The 23157-nt window shown below is 43.7% G+C and overlaps 1 protein-coding gene and 1 long non-coding RNA gene across 8 annotated transcripts in view, besides 10 other annotated features; one reads left to right on the forward strand and one right to left on the reverse strand.

Annotated features, from left to right (window-relative positions):
- Positions 1–1774, reverse strand: part of INO80D (INO80 complex subunit D) — a 92454-nt gene extending 90680 nt beyond the window's left edge. For 3 of the 7 annotated variants that reach the window (XM_047444830.1, XM_011511375.3, NM_017759.5), the window contains exon 1: positions 1501–1774. Coding sequence is in view for 1 of the 7 variants with exons in the window: in XM_011511369.4 (XP_011509671.1) it covers positions 919–973 (55 nt within the window). In the remaining 6 variants the exon portion in view is untranslated. Of the gene's footprint in view, positions 1–646; positions 788–918; positions 1041–1350; positions 1470–1500 lie in introns of those variants that run through there. The other 4 variants (XM_011511371.3, XM_011511369.4, XM_011511370.3 and 1 more) reach the window with 4 other exon arrangements.
- Positions 255–3104, forward strand: INO80D-AS1 (INO80D antisense RNA 1). Its single transcript, NR_186084.1, has 2 exons — positions 255–348; positions 1557–3104. It is a non-coding gene; the product is annotated as an INO80D antisense RNA 1 (long non-coding RNA).
- Positions 505–799: a silencer, noted in NCBI's record as "tiled region #7917; K562 Repressive non-DNase unmatched - State 1:Tss". NCBI's record gives its function as "represses a minimal TATA promoter and a strong SV40 promoter by Sharpr-MPRA in K562 cells {active_cell/tissue: K562}" and the evidence as "EXISTENCE:reporter gene assay evidence [ECO:0000049][PMID:27701403]".
- Positions 701–750: a silencer, noted in NCBI's record as "silent region_12262". NCBI's record gives its function as "represses an Ori minimal core promoter by ATAC-STARR-seq in GM12878 lymphoblastoid cells {active_cell/tissue: GM12878}" and the evidence as "EXISTENCE:reporter gene assay evidence [ECO:0000049][PMID:35858748]".
- Positions 791–990: a silencer, noted in NCBI's record as "silent region_12263". NCBI's record gives its function as "represses an Ori minimal core promoter by ATAC-STARR-seq in GM12878 lymphoblastoid cells {active_cell/tissue: GM12878}" and the evidence as "EXISTENCE:reporter gene assay evidence [ECO:0000049][PMID:35858748]".
- Positions 1011–1180: a silencer, noted in NCBI's record as "silent region_12264". NCBI's record gives its function as "represses an Ori minimal core promoter by ATAC-STARR-seq in GM12878 lymphoblastoid cells {active_cell/tissue: GM12878}" and the evidence as "EXISTENCE:reporter gene assay evidence [ECO:0000049][PMID:35858748]".
- Positions 1261–1470: a silencer, noted in NCBI's record as "silent region_12265". NCBI's record gives its function as "represses an Ori minimal core promoter by ATAC-STARR-seq in GM12878 lymphoblastoid cells {active_cell/tissue: GM12878}" and the evidence as "EXISTENCE:reporter gene assay evidence [ECO:0000049][PMID:35858748]".
- Positions 1521–1810: an enhancer, noted in NCBI's record as "active region_17022". NCBI's record gives its function as "activates an Ori minimal core promoter by ATAC-STARR-seq in GM12878 lymphoblastoid cells {active_cell/tissue: GM12878}" and the evidence as "EXISTENCE:reporter gene assay evidence [ECO:0000049][PMID:35858748]".
- Positions 1521–2356: a biological region, named in NCBI's record as "H3K27ac hESC enhancer GRCh37_chr2:206950661-206951480".
- Positions 1537–2356: an enhancer, noted in NCBI's record as "H3K27ac hESC enhancer chr2:206950661-206951480 (GRCh37/hg19 assembly coordinates)". NCBI's record gives its function as "activates a minimal SCP1, AML or CMV promoter by ChIP-STARR-seq in primed H9 embryonic stem cells {active_cell/tissue: H9 hESC(primed)}" and the evidence as "EXISTENCE:reporter gene assay evidence [ECO:0000049][PMID:30033119]".
- Positions 1861–1910: an enhancer, noted in NCBI's record as "active region_17023". NCBI's record gives its function as "activates an Ori minimal core promoter by ATAC-STARR-seq in GM12878 lymphoblastoid cells {active_cell/tissue: GM12878}" and the evidence as "EXISTENCE:reporter gene assay evidence [ECO:0000049][PMID:35858748]".
- Positions 1921–2030: an enhancer, noted in NCBI's record as "active region_17024". NCBI's record gives its function as "activates an Ori minimal core promoter by ATAC-STARR-seq in GM12878 lymphoblastoid cells {active_cell/tissue: GM12878}" and the evidence as "EXISTENCE:reporter gene assay evidence [ECO:0000049][PMID:35858748]".
- Positions 3105–23157: the final 20053 nt, after the last annotated feature.

Here is a 23157-nt window from a genome sequence, read left to right on the forward strand (position 1 = left end):
GTCACATAAAACTAAACAGTGATTATCAGAATAAATGAACTACTGATCCTTAAACTGTAGACCTTGTTTCGGGAGCTGCCCTGCCCACTTCCTCTCCCTCCTCCCAATCCCGGAGGCTTCCAAGCCATCTGACAACCACGTCTCCCCCTTGGGATCTGTTCCGGTGTTGGTTTTACCGGACAGTGACCAAAAAGGAGGGGAAACTCCTACATCTGGGGACTGCTCCAGAAACCCTGCCTGATCCTGCCCCTCTCACTGACAGTCTCCTCGCTGCTCCCTACATCTTCCTCTCCGCCGGAGCTGTCCAGAAGGGGGATTTTGGACCCAAAGGAATCGGGATGAAAGGGGGTGGGTACTCAAGCTGAAAATAACACCCCCAGTTGGTGGGGTAAGGGCTAAAAAAGGCAATAGGGAAAGATTGTCCGGCAGAAACACCACCTGAGTTTACCTCCTCCTTCCCACCCCAAAAACCCAGTCACTAACTAATAAAGCTAAGAAAAGCCCCTTGCAAACTTTTCCAAACCGGAAGAGAAGGCCCTCTCCCCAACCTGGGGGGCTCTAGGGGGAAGGGGCTGGAGTTAGCAGCCCCGAATGGGCTCGCGGGGAGTTGGGTGGGGCGCGGGCGAGGGGTGCAGGGGCGGAGTACCTTCTTCAATGGACAGGAACTGGCAAAGAGTTTCAAAATAGCCGAGTGCGCTCCCCCACGCCCTGGGGGGTCCCGGGCGCTAGGACCAGGGCTCCCCGGAGAGACAGCGGCCCCCAGTTCGGGCCTAAAAGGAAACTTTCTGGGCCGCGGCTGCACCTGACTCCTCACCGCCCCTCCACCCGACCCCACGCCCGCCAGGCCGCCCGCCCCGCCCCGCCCCGGCCTGGCCGTCCGGAGCGCGGAGGAGGGGGATAAATAAATTCAACTCTTACCGGAATCTGGGGGCCGTCTGCGAGAGACCCGGGGGAAGGGGAGCCGGGCGCCCATTCCCCACTCCCCACTCCTAGGCCCTGACGCCCCTGTCCCGGCAGCCCGGGCCTGCCGCCCCGCGGGAAAGCCTCCGGGCCGGCGCGGGATTCGGCCCAGCAGCGCCGCCGTCCCACCCGGAGACCCCGGGGGACTCGAGGGGGCGCGCGGAGGCCCGGGGTGCGGGGGCAGGGCGCGGCTGCCGTGGGGCCTACCGGCCCGAGGCCTACCGGCGCCCCCCCCTCCCGCCGCACACCCCCACCTGGCCCGCGCAGGCCGCTCCGCTCGCCCCACTCCGGCTCCGGCTGGACCCCTGCCCGCCCGCCGTCGCCGCCCGCGGGCGCCCCGGAGGCCCTCAGGCCCCCGGCCTCCACCACCCGGGCGCCGGCCCCACTCACCCTTTCATTCTCCGCCCGGGGCCTGGCGTGGGCCGGCGAATCCCCGGCCTCACGTAAGCGCGCTCGCCGCCCGCCCAGCCTGCGCGGCCCAGCCCGCCGCCCTACGGGAGCCCGGGGATGTGGGCCGGGCCTGGGGCCGCCTCTGCTTACCTTTCAGCTGCTTTTTTTTTTCTCCTTCCCCCCTGTTCCCTCGGCTGGGCTGACAGATCAGAGTGAGAGGCGCTGGCAATGGACTAGGAAGCTCGGCTGCCGCTGCTACTGCTCCCCCCTGGGCTCCGGCGAGAGCCTTTCCCTGTCAAGCAAGAGGGGTGAGGATCATATTTTTATTTTGGAAACTAAAAAGTGCTCCCAGGGTCGGTGATTATTAAGGGGAAATCCCTGAATATACTCTCCAGCCAAGAAGGCAGGGCTGCCGGGGCTGTACAAGAAGAGGCAGCAGCCTCCTACAGCACCACTACAGGCACTGCGAGGACATAACACCAGAGAGCTGCTCCTCTGCCCTCCGAAACGACAACTTTCCTACCATCTTGGAGGCAGAGCAAAGGGGGGCCAGGGGGAAAAGTGCACCCGCTCCCGATAAAGTACAAATTTTTACTTCTCATCTCTGGAAAAAAGTCCACACCGGCCGTCTACACCCGCGCCTGGGGGAGAAAGCAGGGAAGAAACGGGGGGTGCATGAGAAACGTTTTCATTTGCTCCAGGGGGAAAAATGTTTCTGCATCTTCTGATGGAAAGAAATCTTTACAAGACACAGGTTTTCCGGTGGTTATTGTTTTTTATTTTCTGTTTTTAATTTTTTTCATGTTAGTGACAGTGATATTTTAATATTTTTTTAAGCCAGTAATAATTTTTCTCCATTACAGGGCTAAGTTCTGTGGCTGGTGGTCAGTTTGTAAATTTATACTTAAAGAGACTTAATAGTAACTTCATTTATTTGTCTGGTTATGTTATTGTATATATAAATATTTATGTTTTCATATATTGCATATAAAAATTTGTGTTACATGTTACTCTCAGAACAGATTGCTGTAAGACAATTGTAAAAAAACATGTCTTTCGTCTGTTTCTCAAAGCAATGTAAATAAAACCTATGGACTGTCCAGAAAGGCATGATACAGTGTGTCATTTTCCACAGTGCAGATAAAGGCAGCTATCACTGGGGATTTAAAAACGGCCCCTGTTTCTGGAAATTCTGTTATGCTGCCCATACAGAAAGGATACAGTAAAACTGGAAAGAGATTTTAAAGACAGCCTTAGATTTTTCTTGAGGTAAAATAGCTTATTAAGAATTATATCCGGGCATTTAATTTTTTTATTTATTTAGATTCTTTAAACTCTAGCTAGATCTTTGGTGCATTACACATGTTGCTATCTGCTTTTTGTGTCACAGAATTGAGAAATGTGGCTATTTTTGTTAGTTATGTTAGTTCAGAACTTCCAATGTGCTGCCAGCCTGTATGATAGACTTTTTGTATATTGCAGTGGATGTCATGAATTTACTTTTTTAAATGAGCAAAGCTTACTAGATAAATGGGATCAGAGTTAAACAATGCTGTTAGCACAGAGGTGAGAGGGACAAAGGGTACCCATTTACATCGATTCCAATAGAACGCTTATTGGAGGATAAATTGCAGAGACATTTTTCTATTTTTGTGAAGAAAGAGAAAAATAATAGAAAAAGAACCGACTATCTTTGTATGTTCTACTGGGGATGATGATTTAAATCTTGTATTAAAAGTTATTTTTCTAACACATGTTGACTAACCTGGCAGGAATGAATTTGTTATATTAGTGCCCTGAATCAGTAGAATATTTAATTTCTTTGTAAAATTTATTACACAACATTTAGAAATAACTTCCAAATTTAGAAATTGTCCTGATTTAAAAGTGAGTTCATGTAATGCATATATCGGATATTTATTAGTTTCTAGCTGAACCTTATCTTTATCATATAACTTTGAATATAGTACTTACCTAAATATTCTGGATTTTCTTTTTTTTTTTTTTTTTTTTTTTGAGACGGAGTCTTGCTCTTTCGCCCAGGCTGGAGTGCAGTGGCCCGATCTCAGCTCACTGCAAGCTCCGCCTCCTGGGTTCACGCCATTCTCCTGCCTCAGCCTCCCGAGTAGCTGGGACTACAGGCGCCCGCCACCACGCCCGGCTAATTTTTTCTATTTTTAGTAGAGACGGGGTTTCACTGTGTTAGCTAGGATGGTCTGGATCTCCTGACCTCGTGATCCGCCCGCCTCGGCCTCCCAAAGTGCTGGGATTACAGGTGTGAGCCACCGCGCCCGGCCTATTCTGGATTTTCTTCTGTGGTTTTCTTCCTCTTTGTTTGGTGGAAAAAGTTAAGTAAAATTAACTGATTCTCATCATCTTGGAAACCTCAATTGTGAAGCTATGTTCTATTTACAATATTTTTTTTAAACATTTAGACATCAAACACATTAGTTATCACAAGGAAAATCCCTTAACTAGACCTCTGGCGAAATTGAAAAACATGTTTTCTAACAACTTATTTTTCTTTATATATGACATGACTTTATAGATATGTTTTGAATTTTTCAAGAAATTAAAATGTGATCAGATTCCATGGCTTATGTCTGTGATCCCAGCACTTTGGAAGGCCTAGGTGAGAGTATTGCTTAAGCCCAGGAGTTTGAGACCAGCCTGGGCAACACAGCCAGACCCTTTCTCCAAAAACAAAAATTAAAATAAAATGTGCTTGTTTGCATTAAGCTGGCTGCACCCTTTTTTGCAATGCCCCTTGTGACCAAAGGAACTTGTCTGTCAGTGGATAGGGCTATGCTGCATCAGCTTAGCATTTCAGTGCTTTTCTCTTTATAAAGTTTGACTTCTGCTTAGCTATAGTCTATGATATTTATCCATCAATTGAGCAAAATATTCAAGACTTGAGGCCAGGCACAGTGGCTCACGCCTGTAATCCCAGCACTTTGGGAGGCAGAGGTGGGTGGATCAACTGAGGTCAGGAGTTTGAGACCAGCCTGGCCAACATGGTGAAACCCTGTCTCTACTAAAAATACAAAAATTAGCTGGGTGTGGTGGCAGATGCCTGTAATCCCAGCTACTCTGGAGGCTGAGGCGGGAGAATCACTTCAACTGGAAGGCGGAGGTTGCAGTGAGCTGAGATTGCACCATTGCACTCCAGCCTGGGCGACAAGAGTGAAACGCTGTCGCAAAAAAATTGCTATGTCTGATTCATAGAATCTGCAAATGCTAACAAAACTACTGATATAATTTTTTTTTTTAATTTTTTTTTTGAGACAGAGTGTCACCAGGTTGGCCAGGCTGGTCTTAAACTCCTGACCTCAGGTGATCCGCCTGCGTCTGCCTCCCAAAGTGCTGAGATTACAGGTGTGAGCCACCACACCTGGGCTAAAACTACTGATATAATTTGAGGAAGCTATTTTTTTCCCAATAAAATTTCCACTACTCAAATTTGGCTACATTATTGAGCACTTAATGCATCTTTATGACCTTATTGGATACTTTTCTCTATGTTTTCTTATTTAATTCCTGTAAGAGCTCCAAAAAGTATTACATTTTTCTTTTCTTTTTTAAAAAAAAATAAAGATGGGATAATTGTCTTTCCTGTCAGGGATCATGTACCTTCTCGGCCCAAAAGCTTTCCAATAAGATTCTCAATTCTCCTGGTTTAGAGTGTCCAAGGTGCCTGTCACAATTCTGTGCACTATGCTTGAAGTGCTAGGTTCGTGCTCTATGCTCTTTGCCAAAAACAAACTGAGTAGCCAGCTATTGGAGCCCCCTTCATTCATGGGTGGCAACCAGTGGCTTATTTCACTTTCGTGAAGTCTAGCACCTAATCTATCAGTTGTTTTGAGGAATGCGAATAAATAACAAAAATAAACGCGTTATGATTAACAGAGACTTTGTTCCTGATCCTGAAAATGAGCAGTATATTGTATAAAGCACTAACTTATTCTATTATACCTTCATTTCACAAATAGCTGTTTGGCCGTTAGTTGAAGTAGGAAATGCTTACCTTAATTCTTTTTTTTTTTTAGACAGAGTCTTGCTCTGCCCAGGCTGGAGTGCAGTGGCGCGATCTCGGCTCACTGCAACCTCCGCCTCCTGAGTTCAAGCTATTCTCCTGCCTCAGCCTTCCAAGTAACTGGGATTACAGGTGCCCACCACCACACCCGGCTAATGTTTGTATTTTTAGTAGAGACGGGGTTTCCCCAAGTTGGCCAGGCTGGTCTCAAACTCCTGAGCTTGGCCTCCCAAAGTGTTGGGATTACAGGCGTGAGCCACTGCACTCGGGCAATATTTTTTAAAAATTATTTTTATTATTATTTTTTTTTACATAGAGATGGGGTCTTGCTATTTTGCCCAAGCTAGTCTGAAACTCCTGAGCTCAGGCTATCCTCCTCTCTCTGCCTGCCAAAAGTGCTGAGGTTACAGGCGTGAACCACCTTCCCCAACAACCTTAATAATTTTAGTATCATTAGACTCTTTCATTGATCTACCTTTTGGTATTAATTATTTTAGTTTTCTGTCTTTCTTTTTTTTTTCTGAGACAGAGTCTCACTCTGTTGCCAGGCTGGAGTGCAGTGGTGTGATCGCAGCTCACTGCAACCTATGCATCCCGGGTTCAAGCGATTTTCCTGCCGCACCCTCCTGAGTAGCTGGGACTACAGGCATGCACCACCATGCCCAGCTAAAATTATTAAGAAAATATCAGCCAGGCGCGGTGGCTCATGCCTGTAATCTCAATACTTTGGGAGGCCAAGGCAGGCAGATCACCTGAGGTTAGGAGTTCAAGACCAGCCTGGCCAACATGGTGAAACCCCACCTCTACTAAAAATACAAAAATTAGCCTTTCAGCTACTAGGGAGGCTGAGGCAGAAGAATCACTTAAACCCAGGGGGCGGAGGTTGCAGCGAGCGGAGATCGCGCCACTGCACTCCAGCCTAGGCAACAGACTGGAGTGCAAGACTCTGTCTCAAAAAAATAAAATAAAATAAATAAAATTTAAAAACTCCCAAGGAGGTGAGGGAGTAGAAATAGGGTATGTACATAGCCTGAAAGTTTTCAAAGCCACACTATTATGATGGCCATAGACTCAAATTTTTTTCACTTTAAAGCCTTTCTGTTTTGCAAACATTTGTTGGTAATGTTTCTACCTAAAATAAAGATTTTGGTTTTATTGTGGTTACAAGAAAGTGTTTCTGAGATAAACACTGTATTTGGCAGACAGACATACACATCATAGCTTTAGATTGACTATGAAATTTCTTCAATAAAGATTCAAAGCTGGGCGTGGTGGCTCACACCTGTAATCCCAAAACTTTAGGAGGCTGAGGAGGGAGGATCACTTGAGCCCAGGAGTTGGAGGTCACAGTGATCTGTGATCGCACTACGGCACTCCAGCCTGGGCAACAGAGTGAGAGCCTGTCTCAAAAAAAAAAAAAGGCCGGTATGGTGGCTCACACCTGTAATCCCAACACTTTTAAAGGCCGAGGCGGGTGAATCACGAGGTCAGGAGTTTGAGACCAGCCTGGCCAACATGGTGAAACCGTGTCTGTACTAAAAATACAAAAAATTAGCTGGGCATAGTGGCAGGGGCCTGTAATCCCAGCTACTCTGGAGGCTGAGGGAAGAGAATCGCTTGAACCTGGGACGTGGAGGTTGCAGTGAGCCGAGATCACGCCACTGCACTCTAGCCCGGGCGACAGAGTGAGACTCCATCTCAAAAAAAAAAAAAAAAAAAAAAAAAAAATATATATATATATATATATATATATACACACACACACATATATATGTATATCACATATATGTGTGTATATATATACACATATATATATACACACACACATATATATGTGTATATATAAAAAAATACTATATATATTTATATATTCAGCTGTAGTCAAACATGAGCGTTGATCAGGTAATCTCCCTAATGCTAATATCTAGCCTGGGGCAGTTAGACCTCTGATTTCATACCAGAAACCAAGAAGTGGGTGTTTGGTTTTGTTTTGCCTTTTTTTTTTTTTTTTGAGATGGAGTCTCACTCTGTCACCCAGGCTGGAGTGCAGTGGTGCGATCTCAGCTCACTGCAACCTCCACCTCCCAGGTTCAAGTGATTCTCCTGCCTCAGCCTCCCGAGTAGCTGGGATTGCAGGTGCCTGCCACCACACCCAGCTAATTTGTTGTATTTTTAGTAGAGACGGGTTTTCACTGTGTTGGTCAGGCTGGTCTCAAACTCCTGACTTTGTGATTCGCCTGCCTTGGCCTCACAAAGTGCTGGGATTACAGGTGTGAGTCACCGCGCCTGGCCTGGTTTTGTTTTTAAATCCCCACAAAGGCCAAAAGATACCCTCCAGGAACCAGATGGTCAATTTTGTGCTGCCTTCTCATCATACTAAAGGCAGAAAATGTGACATTCTAGACACTGTATACCATAGGCATTCTTGGGCTATTTTACTGACTCCTAACCTTGGAAAAAGGAAAACAACTCCCCAACTGAAGTCATGTTTTCAGTAATAATTAGTAAAAAGAAACACCCCAAAGCAGTATGAATGATTGGGTGGTGGAATCAGAAGTGATAGTCAGCCTTTTCCATATAATTTTAAAAACTGTCCCAAAAGTGGTGGTTAGCTAAAACATTGAAGTAAGGCGAGAAATCCATTGAGACCTCTGAATAATAGGCAGAGGTTAACACAAAGGTGACAGTGTTCATTTCTGCTGCATTCCTGGCTAAGCAAGCTTTTGTAGACCTGCTGGGAATTTAACCACTATTTCCATGGGAAAACAAATTCCAGGTTCCAAACAACTAATTTACAGTGATGTTCATGGGAACACAGCCCATTAATAAGTTTGGACTTCCTGTGCTATAACATCTTCTCCATGTAGTTGTTATAGACTGCCAGAGTTCGATGATAAGAATGGGAAAATACAGGGAAAATCCTCTCAAACAAAAAAGGAGTAACTATGAAGACAACCTAAATAGCTTGACTTAAACTCAGGTCAAGGGAAAGATTATCAAAGATATTAAATGGTAAAGCCAGTTCTAGTACACCAGGAAGGAAAAAAAGACCTCAATAACTGAAAATTGTACTATTTACTCCATATACATTGAAGTTTGTTGTTGTTGTTTTGAGACAAAGTCTTGCTCTTGTCACCCAGGCTGGAGTGCAATGGCACAATCTCAGCTCACTGCAACCTCCGCCTCCAGGGTTCAAGTGATTCTCCTGCCTCAGCCTCTTGAGTTGCTGAGATTACAGGCGCCTGCCACCACGCGCAGCTAATTTGAAGTTTGTTTATGCATACCTGGGTGCCATATGATAGTATTATAGGTATTTGCATTTTCTTCTATTCTTAAAGAAAAAACAGGTAAGATTCTACTAAAAATTACTAGATCTCATCGTTCTACTAAGTTAATGCTCTTTTGGCACCACACAGCAAGTCATGGCCATTCTTGTTCTCATGCCTCTATTCTTGTTCTGATGCTCTCTGTTTTCAGCTCTGCCAATTAAATCCCACTCTGCTTGATGACTTGCTCACAGTCTTGTCCCTGAAGCCTTCTGAGGCCAAGTTGAGTCTATACTGACCTTATTGTTAATTTAATACCTTGAGTTGTTTTCTAGCTTTTCTTAGTTTTTTGGGTTTTTTTCTACATGTGCAACAGGAGCTGTAGTGATTAATAGCTTCATCTCTGGAGTCAAGGCCATCTGATTTGGAAACTTGGCTCTACCATTTTCCTACTGTGTAACCCTGGGCAAGCTCCTAGTCTAGTCTGTTTTATGCTGCTATAACAGTATGCCATAGACTGAGAAATTTATAAAGAAGAGAAATTTATTTCTTACACTTCTGGAGACAGGAAGTCCAAGAGCATGGCGCTGACATCTGAAGAGGGTCTTTTTGTTGTGTTATCGCATGGCAGAAGGCAGAAGGTCAAGAGAGTACATGTATGAGTGGGGAAAGCGGGGAGGAAGGAAAGGAAGGTGGCAGAACTTATCCTTTTATCAGGAACCCACTCCCACAATAACTAACCTACTTCTGTGATAACAGCATGAATCCATTCAGTAGGGCAGAGCTTTTATGACCTGATCACCTCATAAAGGTCTCACCTCTCAACCTCTTTGCTTTGGGGATTAAGTTTCCAACATATAAACCTTGGGATACACATTCAGACCATAGCACTCCTTACCCTCTCAGTTTCCTCATTTGTAAAACTAGAGATAATAATAGTACCTGCCTCACTGGGGTATTCTGAGGATTAAATGGCATAGTAGATAAAGCACAAGGCTCCAGCACTTTTAGTGGAGATGGGGTTTCACCATGTAAGGATGGTCTCAATCTCCTGACCTCATGATCCGCCTGCCTCAGCCTCCCAAAGTGCTGGGATTACAGGTGTGAGCTGCCGCGCCCAGCCCCAGATATTCTTAAATACCCGGATAATTTTAAGTTTAGCTGAGATTTTGGTGCCCTTCAGAATCAATGAAGGTCTTAAAATATAAAAGGGGGTTCAGAAATAGTACATAGAGAATACACCACAAGCCAGGCACAGTGGCTCATGTTTGCAATCCCAGCACTTTGGGAGGCCGAGGTGGGAGGATCACTTGAGGCCAGGAGTTCGAGACCAGCTTGGCCAACATAGTGAGACCATGTCTCTATAAAAAATTTTAAAAATTAGCCAGCTGGGAGGCCAAAGCAGGCAGATCACCTGAGGTCAGAAGTTCGAGACCAGCCTGGCCAACATGGTGAAACCCCGTCTCTACAAAATAGCCAGGTGTAGTGACGCACGCCTGTGATCCCAGCTGCTCAAGAGGCTGGGGCAGGAGAATCGCTTGAACCTGGGAGGCGGAGGTTGCTGTGGGCGTAGATCACACTACTGCACTCCAGCCTGGGCAATAGAGGAGACTCTACACACACACACACACACACACACACACATATGTATATATGTATGTGTGTATATGTGTATGTGTATATGTGTGTGTGTCTACGTGTGTGTGTGTGTGTGTGTGTGTATATGCCACTTGTGGTGGCATGAGCCTGTAGTCCCAGCTATTTGGGAGGCTGAGGCAGGAGGATCGCTTGAGCTGAAAAGGTTGAAAAAAATTTTTTTAATAATAATAGATACATACATACGTATTCAAGAAGTGTCTATAAATCACTTACAGTGTGCTAGGCACAGGTGGTAAGGATATTGGGGAAACAGCTCCTGCCTGCGAGTGTCTTCAGTCTGGCAAGAGACAAAAGAATTATTGTTTTAGGGTTATTTATTTTTATATAGATCCTCTTGATATGTAAGCTTTTATAAATATAAGCTTTTGAAAATATAAGCTCCACGAAGCCTGGAGATTTTGTCTTTTTTTGTTTTGTTTTTGTCTAGTTTGTTCATTTGGCCTCTTGAACACTGCCTGGGATGAAATATACACCGTAAATATTTGTTGGATTAATGAATATTTGAGATTTTGGATTCTTTACTATTTGATAATTAAGGTATGGCTTTTAGATGGTTAAATGAGAAGGACTCTGAGGAATTGAGCATGGACTTTCTAACCATCTCACTACAAAAGTCCAAGATGATTAGCAAAATATCTGTGTAATTCTAGTTATTTCAGCCACCCTCAAGCATTATATTCCAATTGGCCATACTCTAGTTTAAAAACCTGGGAGTGGTATTAAGTATTCTTTTTCTTTTCTATTGACATATTTCTGTTGTGCATTTCTATTGCCAAAGATACTTAAAACGTGTGCATATCCTAGGTTATTTTAAGATGACTAGCCGTACAGGTCAAAAAATTTAAAAATGGAATATAAGAGAATCACCTGGAGTAAAAAGCAAACATAGAAGATGTAAAAATATATATGGTTGCCATTATAGCCTTTTGTGTGGAAACTCTAGCATATTTGAGCAAACATCTTTGAGTATTCCCTTTTCACATTTTGTAGGACATGATCAGATATACCATCTGCTTCTCTGGGTAACTTGGCAGCTGTTAATTGACTAACATTCCCTGAGTTCTGTTGTCACCATCAGTGGTTCTAGAACATAAGAACAAAAAAAGATTGTAAGAATAGCCTTCATAACCCAAGTTTCCTTTAAATCATAGAGAGAAAAAAAATAAGAACCTATATTGACCAACTGGGAAAAACTAAAGGAATATTTACATAATCATAAGTCATTTTAATTTTCTCTAAGGCTATTACTACAATATATCTAAATATTTTAAATGTATATATAAAGCAAGAGCAATTAAGTAATTTAATACCAACAGAATTTATATTTCAAATGGGGGGAAAATGGATCATCTCATTTTGTGGTAAGATATACAGATGCTTCCTGTTGCCCTGTCCAGAATGATGTTAACATTAACCTCAGAGGAGGCCGTTAAGCCAGCGTTGAGCTAGACAGTAACCATTATGTCTCTCTCTATTGAGGAGGAGGGGAAAAATGATGTTACCTAAATTTATGAGCTGCAAACTGAACACTTCATACAATGATGATCAATGATATGATAAGTTATCATTCAATTTCTACGGTTTGTGTCCTCTCTGAAATGAAGCTAAGAAAAAAAATTGTAGGGAAATAACAGACTGCCGTTTGCATTATTAGAAAGCTCACGTAACTGCACTATGCAGGCCATTTGTCTTTTTTTTTTCCTGTTAGAAGGGAGTTTTTATTTTCTCTGAATCAAACTATTAGAGTAATACATTACTGAGTTCATTTTTGCTTCTATCTCTTTATCTTGACTTGAGTTCAGAAAACTTGGAACATGTGCATTCTTTTAAGCTGTCTGAAAGGATTTTGTGTATTTATGGTTTTACATGCCGAGCTATTTTTCCTCAGAAATTCTGACATCAAATGTGTGAATTTTTTCTCACACCAACCAATTCTCCAACTTTCCGGACACCAACGGGGTATCCTACAATTCAATTCAATTCTAACATTAACGGCCCAGCATTAGCAGCAGACTCCACAGGTTTTAAAGAGTCCTCAATTCCAATGCCATTCGCAAGTATTGGGTCCCCAGGTTACCCACACACACTTCTTGGGTACAAAGTCAGGGAGTTCCCACAACTTTCTCCCCTTCAGCTTGATAATTTGCTACAATGACTCACAGAACTCAGGAGCACTCTTATATTAATATTTACTGGCTCTTTATAAAAGATATAACTTGGGAACAGCCAAACAGAAGAGATGCAGAGAGCAAGATATTGGCAGGGGTGTTGGAAGCCCCGCGCCCTCTCTGGGCACACCACCCTCCTAGCAATTTGATGTGTTCACCAACCCAGAAGCTCACTGAACCTGTCATTAGGGGTTTTTATGGAGGTTTTGTCAAATCAGGATGACCAATTATTAACTCAGTCTTCAGCTCTTCACACTTCCCCACATATTGAGGGGATGGGCTGAAAGTTCCAGGCTTCTCATCAAGGTCTAGTCTTTCTGGTGACCAGGCCCCATCCTGAAGCTATCTAGGGCCCCAGCAAGAAACCTCAGTAGAACAAAAGATGCTTCTATCAACCAGGAAATTCCAAGAGATTAAGGAGCTCTGTGTCGGAAACTGGGGACAGAGACCAAATATTAGAACAAACGACGCTCCTATCATCCCTATCACTCAAGAAATGGCAGTTTTAAGAGCTCTGTGTCAAAAATCAGGGACAAAGTCCAAATAGATAGATAGATAGATACACATATATATACATATCTCTCTCTCTATATATATACACATATATATCTATTTCTTACTATGTCACACATGCTAACTCCTTATTCTGAAATAAAAGCAAAAAGCAAACACCAAACCAATAACAAAAAGCCTCCACAATGTACAGGTGTTATGGGGTCACATCATGATAAACCTATTGCGAATTGGGAATATTCTTAAATAAAAAATGCATTTAATGTACCTAATCCACCAAACATCATAGCTTAGCCTAGCCTACCTTAAATGAGCTTGGAACACTTACAATAGCCTACAACTGGGCAGAATCATTAAACACAAAGTCATTTTACAATGAAGTGTTGGCTGGACGCAGAGGCTCATGCCTATAATCCCATCACTTGGATACTGAGGCAGGAAGATTGGGCCGGGCACGGTGGCTCACGCCTGTAAGCCCAACACTTTTGGGAGACTGAGGCAGGTGGATCACCTGAGGTCAGAAGTTCGACACCAGCCTGGCCAACATGGTGAAACCACGTCTCTACTAAAAATACAAAAATTAGCTGGGCGTGGTGGCAGGCACCTGTAATCTCCTAGCTACTCCGGAGGCTGAACCAGGAGACTTGCTTGAACCCAGGAGGCGGAGGTGGCAGTTAGCCAATATCGTGCCATTGCACTCTAGCCTGGGCGGCAGATCAAGACTGTGTCTCAAAAGAAAAAAAAAAAAAAAAACTGGACGACTTAGTACAGATGGTCCCTGATTTACCATGGTTTGACTTAGGATTTTTCAGCTTTACCATGGTAACCATACAACTATTCTGTCTTTCAGTACAGAACTCAATGAATCGGCCGGGTGCAAGTGCCCGTCTGTAATCCCTGCACTTTGGGAGGCCGAGGCGGACGGATCACGGGGTCAGGAGATCGAGACCATCCTGGCTAACACGGTGAAACCTTGTCTCTACTAAAAGTACAAAAAATTAGCCGCGCGAGGTGGCAGGCGCCTGTAGTCCTAGCTACTCGGGAGGCTGAGGCAGGAGAATGCCGTGAACCTGGGGAGCGGAGCCTGCAGTGAGCCGAGATCGGGCCACTGCACTCCAGCCTGGGAGACAGAGCGAGACTCCGTCTCAAAAAGAAAAAAGAACTCTTTTTTTTTTGACAGAGTCGTGCTCTGTTGTCCAGGCTGGAGTGCAGATCTTGGCTCACTGCAGTCCCGACCTCCCAGGCTCAAGTGATCCTCCCACTTCAGCCTCCTAAGCGGTGAGTAGCTGGGACCACAGGTGCCCCACTATGCATGGCTAATTTTTTTGTTTTTCTTTTTGTAGAGACAGGGTCTCAATACGTTGCCCAGGCTGGTCTCGAGCTCCTGGGCTCAAGCAATCCTGCCAATTAGCTGGGATTATAGACATGTGCCACCATGCCCAGCATATATTTACTTTCATTAATCTATACTACTGCATCAAAATTATTATAATGTTGTGGCATGTTAAGTCTTTTTTTTTTCTAAGACAGAGTTTCACTCTTGTTGCCCAGGCTGGAGCGCAATGGCGCAATCTTGGCTCACCGCAACTTCCGCCTCCTGTGTTCAAGGGATTCTCCTGCCTCAGCCTCCGGAGTAGCTAGGATTACAGGCACGTGCCACCACGCCCGGCTAATTTTGTATTTTTAGTAGAGACGGGGTTTCTTCATGTTGGTCAGGTTGTTCCTGACCTCAAGTGATCCGCCCGCCTCGGCTTCCCAAAGTGCTGGGATTACAGGCGTGAGCCACCTCGCGGACTGCATGTTAAGTCTTTTGAAGCAGGCCGGGCGCGGTGGCTCACGCCTTTAATCCTAGCACTTTGGGAGGCCAAGGTGGCTGGGTTGCCTGAGCTCAGGAGTTCAAGACCAGCCTGGGCAACACGGTGAAATCCCGTCTCTACTAAAATACAAAAAAGTAGCTGGGCGTGGTAGTGTGCGCCTGTAATCCCAGCTACTCGGGAGGCTGAGACAGGAGAAACTCTTGAATCCAGGAGGCGGAGGTTGCAGTGAGCCGAGATTACCCCACTGCACTCCAGCCTGGGCGACAGAGCAAGACTCCGTCAAAAAAAAAAAAAAGGCTCTTGAAGCACACTAACTCTTCCAAAATTAAGCTCCCTTAAAGGAAAATAGAATTATTAAAATGAAAACAGTAAGCAACATAACTGTTACTATTTCAGCTAAGAATCTTAAAGCACATTACAGACACTTTTCATCTTAACAATTGGAAAAAACAAGTACTAGCAAGTGAATTGCTTAAGATTACATAGACTAGCCCAATTCTAGAGAGAAATAATTCAAGTGTATCTTATTGTCATCTTGTTGTTAAGTACAGACATATTCAGATTTCACCAGTTTCCCACTAATGTTCTTTTTCTTTTTTCTTTTCTTTTTTTGAGACAGGTTCTCACTCTGTTGCCAAGCTGGAGTGCAGTGGCACAATCACAGCTCACTGCAGCCTTGAACTCCTAGACACAAGTGATCCTCCTACCTCAGCCTCTCAAGTAATTGGGACTGCTGACTTGAACCACCATGCCTGGCTATTTTTTATTTTTTAGTAGAGATGGAGTCTTGCTGTGTTGCCCAGGCTGCTCTTGAACTCCTTGATTCAAGTGATCCTCTTGCCTCAGCCTCCCAAAGTCCTAGGATTACAGGCATGAGCCACTACATTTGACCTAATGTCCTTTTTCTCTTCCAGAGAGTTAATCTTTCCTTGTCTTTCATGACCTTGACATTTTTGAAGAGTTCTAGTCAGTTACTTGGTATAACTGTCCCTGAGTTTGGGCTTGTCTTATGTTTTCTCATGATTAGATGAGTTAATATATTTTTGGCAAGAATCTCAGACATGATGTCCTATCAGGGAGTACATGATGTCAAAATGTGTTATTACAGACAGTTTATGTAGTTTTGTTTTCTTTCTTTCTTTCTTTCTCCTCTCCTCTTTCTCCTCTTCTCTTTTTCCTTTTTTTTTTTTTTTTTTTTTTTTGAGACTGCGTCTTGTGCTGTTGCCCAGGCTGGAGTGCAGTGGGGCAATGACAGCTCACTGCAACCTCCACCTCCTGGGTTTAAGTGATCCTCCTACCTCAGCCTCTTGAATAGCTGGGACTACAGTCATGCATAACCAACCCTAGCTAATATTTTATTTCTTGTAGAGACAGGTTGCACTATGTTGAACATGCTGAGTTTGAACTCCTGGGCTCAAGCCATCCTGCCGTCTCAGCTTCCCGAGGTGTTGGGATTACAGGTGCGAGCCAGTGGGCCTGGCTACCAGTTGTATAGTTTTATATTGCTGCTGTAACAAATTACCTCAAGCCTAGCAGCTTACAACAACACCCGTTTACTATCTCAAATTAGCATCTTCATAGGTTAGATGCAGATTAATGAGTTTGTTTCCACTTACTGTTCTATCAAGTTACCACATCGAGAGGCTTAAAATAAAACAAATTTTTTTCTTACAATTCAGGATGATAGAAGTCTGAAATGGGTTATAGTGGGTTAAAATTAAGATCTCAAAAGGCCTGCATCCCTTCTGGGGGCTGTGGGAGAATCCATTCCCTTGTTTTTTCCAGCTTCTAGAAGCTACCTGCATTCCTTGGCACATGTTCCCTTTTTCCATCTTTAAAGCCAACAGCATAGAATCTTCTAATCTGCTACCTCTGATCCTCCTGCCTCACTCATACAGATGCTTCTTATTACATTGGGTCCGCACAGATACTCCAGGATCATCTCCCCATTTTAAGATCCTTACTTTAATCACATCTACAGAAATCCGTCTTGCCAGATGAGGTAACATATTCACAGGTTTAGGGAATTAGAACATGGGCACTTTTGGGAGCCATTATTCTGCCTACCACATGAATATATTTAGACTAATAAGACAATCAGTCCATATAAATCAGGCAAAGGTAAAATGTCCTTAAATAACATGTTTCTTTTTACTCTTCCTTCTTATTCCAGTGAGTAGCTTTTTTTTTTTCCAAGACAGAGTCCTCCTATGTCATCTAGGCTGGAGTGCAGTGATGCGATCTCAGCTCACTGCAACCACCGCCAACCAGGTTCAAGCGATTCTCCTGCCTCAGCCTCCCGAGTAGCTGGGATTACAGGCATGAGCCACCGTGCCTGGCTATTTTGTGTGTGTGTATTTTTAGTAGAGATGGGGTTTCACCATGTTGGCCAGGCTAGTCTCGAACTCCAACCTCAGGTGATCTGCCCACCTTGGCCTCCCAAAGTGATAGGATTGCAGGCGTAAGCTACCACGCCTGGCCATGGGTAACTTTTTTTAAATTTGCAATACATTTGCACATTTATCTAGCTCCATAAAAAGTAATGTCATTAATCTTCCATTGGTAGCACATTGGCTTTCATTTGTCCTCCAGCAACAGTGAAGAACTGTTGTTAATCCATCTGTCTGTCAGCTCAGATTTTTACCAGTTATAAAAGCAACGATTATAATTTGCCATGATGCATTACTCTTCTGTCCAGAGAGCTCAGTTTATATGACCTGTATTCAGATCATTGGTTGGAAATTACATTGCCAGACCTAAATGAAAAAAAAAGTAAACATTCTCTTCATATTCTTGGCTATAAGTATGCTTTTACTTTTCATTCATTTATTCATTGAACAAATGTTTATTGAATATCTGTGCAAGGTACTGCAATAGGTATTGGTGCTATAAGGTCATAATTCAAAATATGGGGATATTGCTTTTAGTAGCTTAACCTCAAGTAATAACTCAAGTACTATCTCATATTTATATACTTACTTTCTTTTTTCTTTTTGAGACAGTCTCGCTCTGTTGGCCAGGCTGGAGTGCAGTGGCGTGATCTCAGCTCACTGCAGCCTCCACCTCCTGAGTTCAAGCAATTCTCCTGCTTCAGTCTCCAGAATAGTTGGACACAGGCGTGTGGCACCACACCCAGCTAATTGTTGTATTTTTAGTAGAGATGGGGTGAAACTATGGAGACATAGTTTCACCATGTTGGCCAGGCTGGTCTCAAACTCTTGGCCTCAAGTGATCCACTGGCCTCGGTTTCCCAAAGTGCTGGGATTACAAGTGTGAGCCACCCCAGCCTATATACTTACTTTCTGTCTGGGAGGTAGTTTCTAAAACCAAGGTTTTCTCATTCTTATTACTGTTGACTGACTGGAAATAAAATTTTTGATATAAAGTATTATGTGTAAAAAACAAAATATATTATGTGTAAAAAGTCATTTAATGCTTTATATTTCTAGTACTGAACTATAGATTGGTTGCATACTAATTCACAGGATACTCAGTATTCGCTTTCTTTCTTTCTTTTTTGTTTAGATACAGGGTCTTGCTGCGTTGCCCAGGCTGGTCTCAAAGTGGGCTCAAGTGATCCTCCCGCCTTGGTCTCCCAAAGTGCTGGCATTACAGGTTTAAGGCACTATGTCTGGCCTCATACTTTTTAAAAGATGAAATTCTTAGAAGAATTTTTTTTTTTTAGATGGAGTCTCGCTCTTGTTTCCCAGGCTGAAGTGCAGTAGTGTGATCTCGGCTCACTGCAACCTCCGCCTCCCAGGTTCAGGCGATTCTCTTCCCTTAGCCTCTACAGGTGTGCGCCACCATACCTGGCTAATTTTTGTATTTTTAGTAGAGACGGGGTTTTACCACGTTGGCCGGGCTGGTCTCAAACTCCTGACCTCCGGTGATCTGCCTGCCTCGGCCTCTGAAAGTGCTGGGATTACCAGCATGAGCCACCATGCCTGGCCCAGAAGAATTTTTTTAAGTGTAATACAATAAAAACAATTAACATTTATTAAGCACTTACTCCTGCGCAGAGCTTTACACAGATTATTTAGTCTTTCAAACACCTCTATGAGGTAGGTGTTATTATTATCAACATCCCCATTTCGCAGGTATTAGTAATAGAGATGACGTAGCTGGGGAGTGGTAGAGCCAGAATTTAAATCTGGGGAACTGATCCCATTACTTCCTCCCTTAACGCACACATCAGTGTGTACAGTATCTCATAGTGTTGCCACTCAGTAAATAGTGTAGGATATAATGATTGCTCCAAATCCTGCTCATAGATTGATCATTTTCCCCAATTTTGAAATATCACTGAAAAACTATAACTTCGATGGCTTGTAAAACATGCAGGTATGGAAATTTCAGAAGGAGCCTAAGTGCCACACAGACTTAGTAAATCAAAGTCCTGTTAAACATACATACAATAACTAGCACCCAGGACATTGCTGATTCAAGTTCATCATTGCTGCTGTTGAAATCACCTCTTTAATTTGATGGCATGACTCAGGGAGAATGCAGCTTCAGCACAGTTATTCAGAATAAGGTAACTATATTCTAGTGCCTGTTTTACCATTAGCAATTACTTTCCCATAATTGAGACAGACTGCTGTCAATTTAGTTATTATTTTTCCAGTTCTTAGAAAATTCCTGAAGAAAATACTTAGGTAAATAAATTTTGGCTGCCTAGTGATGATTCTTTTTTTGTTTTTTTTAAGATGGAGTTTCCCTCTTGTCACCCAGGCTGGAGTGCAATGGCATGACCTCAGCTCACTGCAACCTTCGCCTCCCAGATTCAAGCAATTCTCCTGCCTTAGCCTCCCAAGTAGCTGGGATTACAGGTGCCTGCCACCACACCCGGCTAATTTTTTGTATTTTTAGTAGAGACAGGGTGTCACCATGTTGGCCAGGCTGGTCTCAAACACCTGACCTCAGGTGATCCACCCGCCTTGGCCTCCCAAAGTGCTGGGATTACAGGCGTGAGCCACCGTGCCCAGCCACACACTTGGCTAATTTTTAAATTTTTTGTAGAGACAGGGTCTCACTATGTTGCCCAGGCTGGGCTCAAACTCCTAGCCTCAAGTGATCCTCCCACCTTAGCCTCCCAAAGTGTTAGGATTACAGGCGTAAGCCACCATGACTAGTCCTAGATTCTTAAAAGTATATTCAATTCACACCTAATCAGAAAGAATGGTTTTCATGTTTGCTTTATTTCTATATTTGAATACTTAAATATTTCATTCATAGAAACGTGATGTTTTCTAATCCAGGACACTCGAGTTTATAATATTTCCATGATGAAGTTCATGGAGCTTCCCAACCTTACTTAAAAAAAAAAAAAAAAGCCATCCAGGCACAATGGCTTACATCTGTAATCCTAGCACTTTGAGAGGCTGAGGTGGGAGGACTGCTTGCGCTGAGTTCAAGACCAGCCTGGGCAACATGGCAAGATCCTGTCTCTAAAAAAGATACAAAAATTAGCCAAGTGTGGAGGTATGCACCTGTGGTTCCAGCTGCTTGGGAGGCTGAGGTGGGAGAATCACTTGAGCCCAAAATGTTGAGGCTGCAGTGCCCCACTGCACTCCAGCATGGACAACAGAATGAGGCCCTGTCTGTAATAAAAAAGGCTAGCCAGGTGCCGGGGCTCATGCCTATAATCCCAGCACTTTGGGAGGCTTAGGTGGGAGGACTGCTTGAGCCCAGGAGTTCAAGACCAGCCTGGGCAACATAGTGAGACCCTATCTCTATTGTTTTTTTAAAAAGCCAGATAAGTAGGAAAGGAAATTATTTCAATTTACATCCACAATTGTACAAGTGTTTTAAATATGGATACAGTTAACAAGAATGAATATTATTCAAGATAATTAAACATTTTAGAATAAAATAGAAAATAAAATGTAAGAAATGTGAATTATTTAGTCCAGTAAAATACACTGTCTAAAATATATTCAAAATATGTTTATGTTTTTTATAATTTTAAAGTAAGTTTTGTCAGCATATGTATGACTACACGTGACTAATTTCTTTCTTTCTTTTTTGAATCAGAATCTCACTGTGTCATCCAGGCTAGAGTATAGTGGCATGATCTCGGCTCACTGCAACCTCCGCCTCTCAGGTTCAAGTGATTTGCCTGCCTCAGCCTCCAGAGTAGCTGGGATTACAGGCATCCGCCACCATGCCCAGCTGATTTTTGTCTTTTTAGTAGAGATGGGGTTTCAATATGTTGACCAGGCTGGTCTCAGACTCCTGACCTCAGGCGATCCGGCTGCCTCGGCCTCCCAAAGTGCTGAGATTACAGGCATGAGCCACCATGCCCGGCCACATAACTAACTTCTACTGAATTGCTAATCATTTGGAAGAGGTTTTGATAAATTTGGGTCTCCTATCAACAAATTTAAAGAAATAGAAGATAGTGTCCTGAAGAACCAATAAATTGCACAGTATGATAAATGGAAATGGTTACTAGTTGATAACAGAGCAAAAAACCTTATGGGAATCCAAGTGGCTACCAAGCTTACATGAATCACCAGTACTAAGATGGTGAACAAATAGGAATAGTTAATGATTATAGTTGCTTTGCCAGAAGAAGAAAAGTTTAAGGCATGATACAATAATTGCATGTAAGAATATAACTGGACCGAGCACAGTAGCTCACACCTGTAATCCCAGCACTTCGGGAGGCTGAGGCGGGCGGATCACAAGGTCAGGAGTTTGAGACCAGCCTGGCCAACACAGTGAAACCCCGTCTCTACTAAAAATAAAAAAATTACCTGGGCTTGGTGGCTGGTGCCTGTAATCCCAGGTACGCCAGAGGCTGAGACAGGAGAATCGCTTGAACCTGGGAGGTGGAATTTGCAGTGAGCCGAGATCTCACCACTGCACTCCACCCTGCGTGACAGAGCTAGACTCCATCTAAATAAAAAAAAGAATATAGCTGATTATTAATCAAACCTGCTTAGTAAAGGAGTTCTAATTGACAGTGAACTTATCACTTGGATGGGAGAGAAAATGGTGACCAACACCTTTGATGTATTAGTTTGGTGGGAGCGGGGAGTTCAGGGGAAAAAAAGACGCTGAGGGAAAGAACTATGGGCCCAATAGGAAGTTGATATCTGGAATCTTTTTGGTCACTAAATAAGCTAGATTGCATCAGAGACTCTAGCAAAAACAATAATTTCTCAGATGTTTATTGTGTGTGACCATGCTGAGTCAGAGGGTGCGTCAACCCCACTCTGGGAGGAAAGTGCTCACAAGGAGAGAGGAATGATCTCTTCCTGGGTAAGAGGATCTTTTTTTTTTGAGACGGAGTCTTGCTCTGTCGCCCAGGCTGGAGTGCAGTAGTGCGATCTCGGCTCACTGCAAGCTCCGCCTCCTGGGTTCACGCCATTCTCCTGCCTCAGCCTCCCGAGTAGCTGGGACTACAGGCGCCCGCCACCACGCCCGGCTAGTTTTTTGTAAATTTTTTTTTAGTAGAGACGGGCTCTCACCTTGTTAGCCAGGATGGTCTCGATCTCCTGACCTCGTGATCCGCCCGCCTCGGCCTCCCAAAGTGCTGGGATTACAGGCGTGAGCCACCACGCGCCCGGCCTAAGAGGATCTATTTAGTAAAATTCCTTGCCTAGTGCCCTAATCAGTATCTTGATGCCTGGGAAAAATTAACTATTACCCCCAGGAGTGAGCAGTTGACTTCCTTTACTCAACAGTAAGGATGGGGCATAATAATTAGGGTTAACATCAGAAAGTTCACATTTAAGAGCATGTTGAATACTGCCCAGGGTACAATTTCAAGTAGGCACAGTCCTTGCCTAGTAACCTGAATTGTAAAGCTGTGAAGAATTGCAGTCACTGTATTAGAAGCATAAAAGGTTTCTGCCCCTTTTTAGGGTGTTTTTCATTTTCTTTCTGAAAATTGCTATTGTTACACATGTACTTACTGAATTAAACCACAAACATGAATGGAAGAATCAATTCCAACCAAAAAATTAAGTGGAATAAGATGTGGATTCTCAAGACCCACATATATTTTATTTTGTTTTGTTTTGTTTTTTGTGACGGAGTCTTGCTCTGTTGCCCAGGCTGGAATGCAGTGGTGCGATCTCGGCTCACTGCAACCTCCGCCTCCCGGGTTCAAGCAATTCTTCTGCCTCAGCCTCCTGAGTAGCTAGGACTACAGGCGTGTGCCACCACACCCGGCTAATTTTTGTATTTTTTTAGTAGAGATGGGGTTTCACCATGTTGGCTAGGCTGGTCTCGAACTCCTGACCTCAAGCAGTCTGCCTGCCTCAGCCTCCCACAGTGCTGGGATTAGAGGCGTGAGCCACGGTGCCCGGCAAGACCCAAATATATTATTAAAGATAATTTGA

Source organism: Homo sapiens, chromosome 2, assembly GCF_000001405.40.
Source record: "Homo sapiens chromosome 2, GRCh38.p14 Primary Assembly".
NCBI classification, from domain to species: domain Eukaryota; kingdom Metazoa; phylum Chordata; class Mammalia; order Primates; family Hominidae; genus Homo; species Homo sapiens.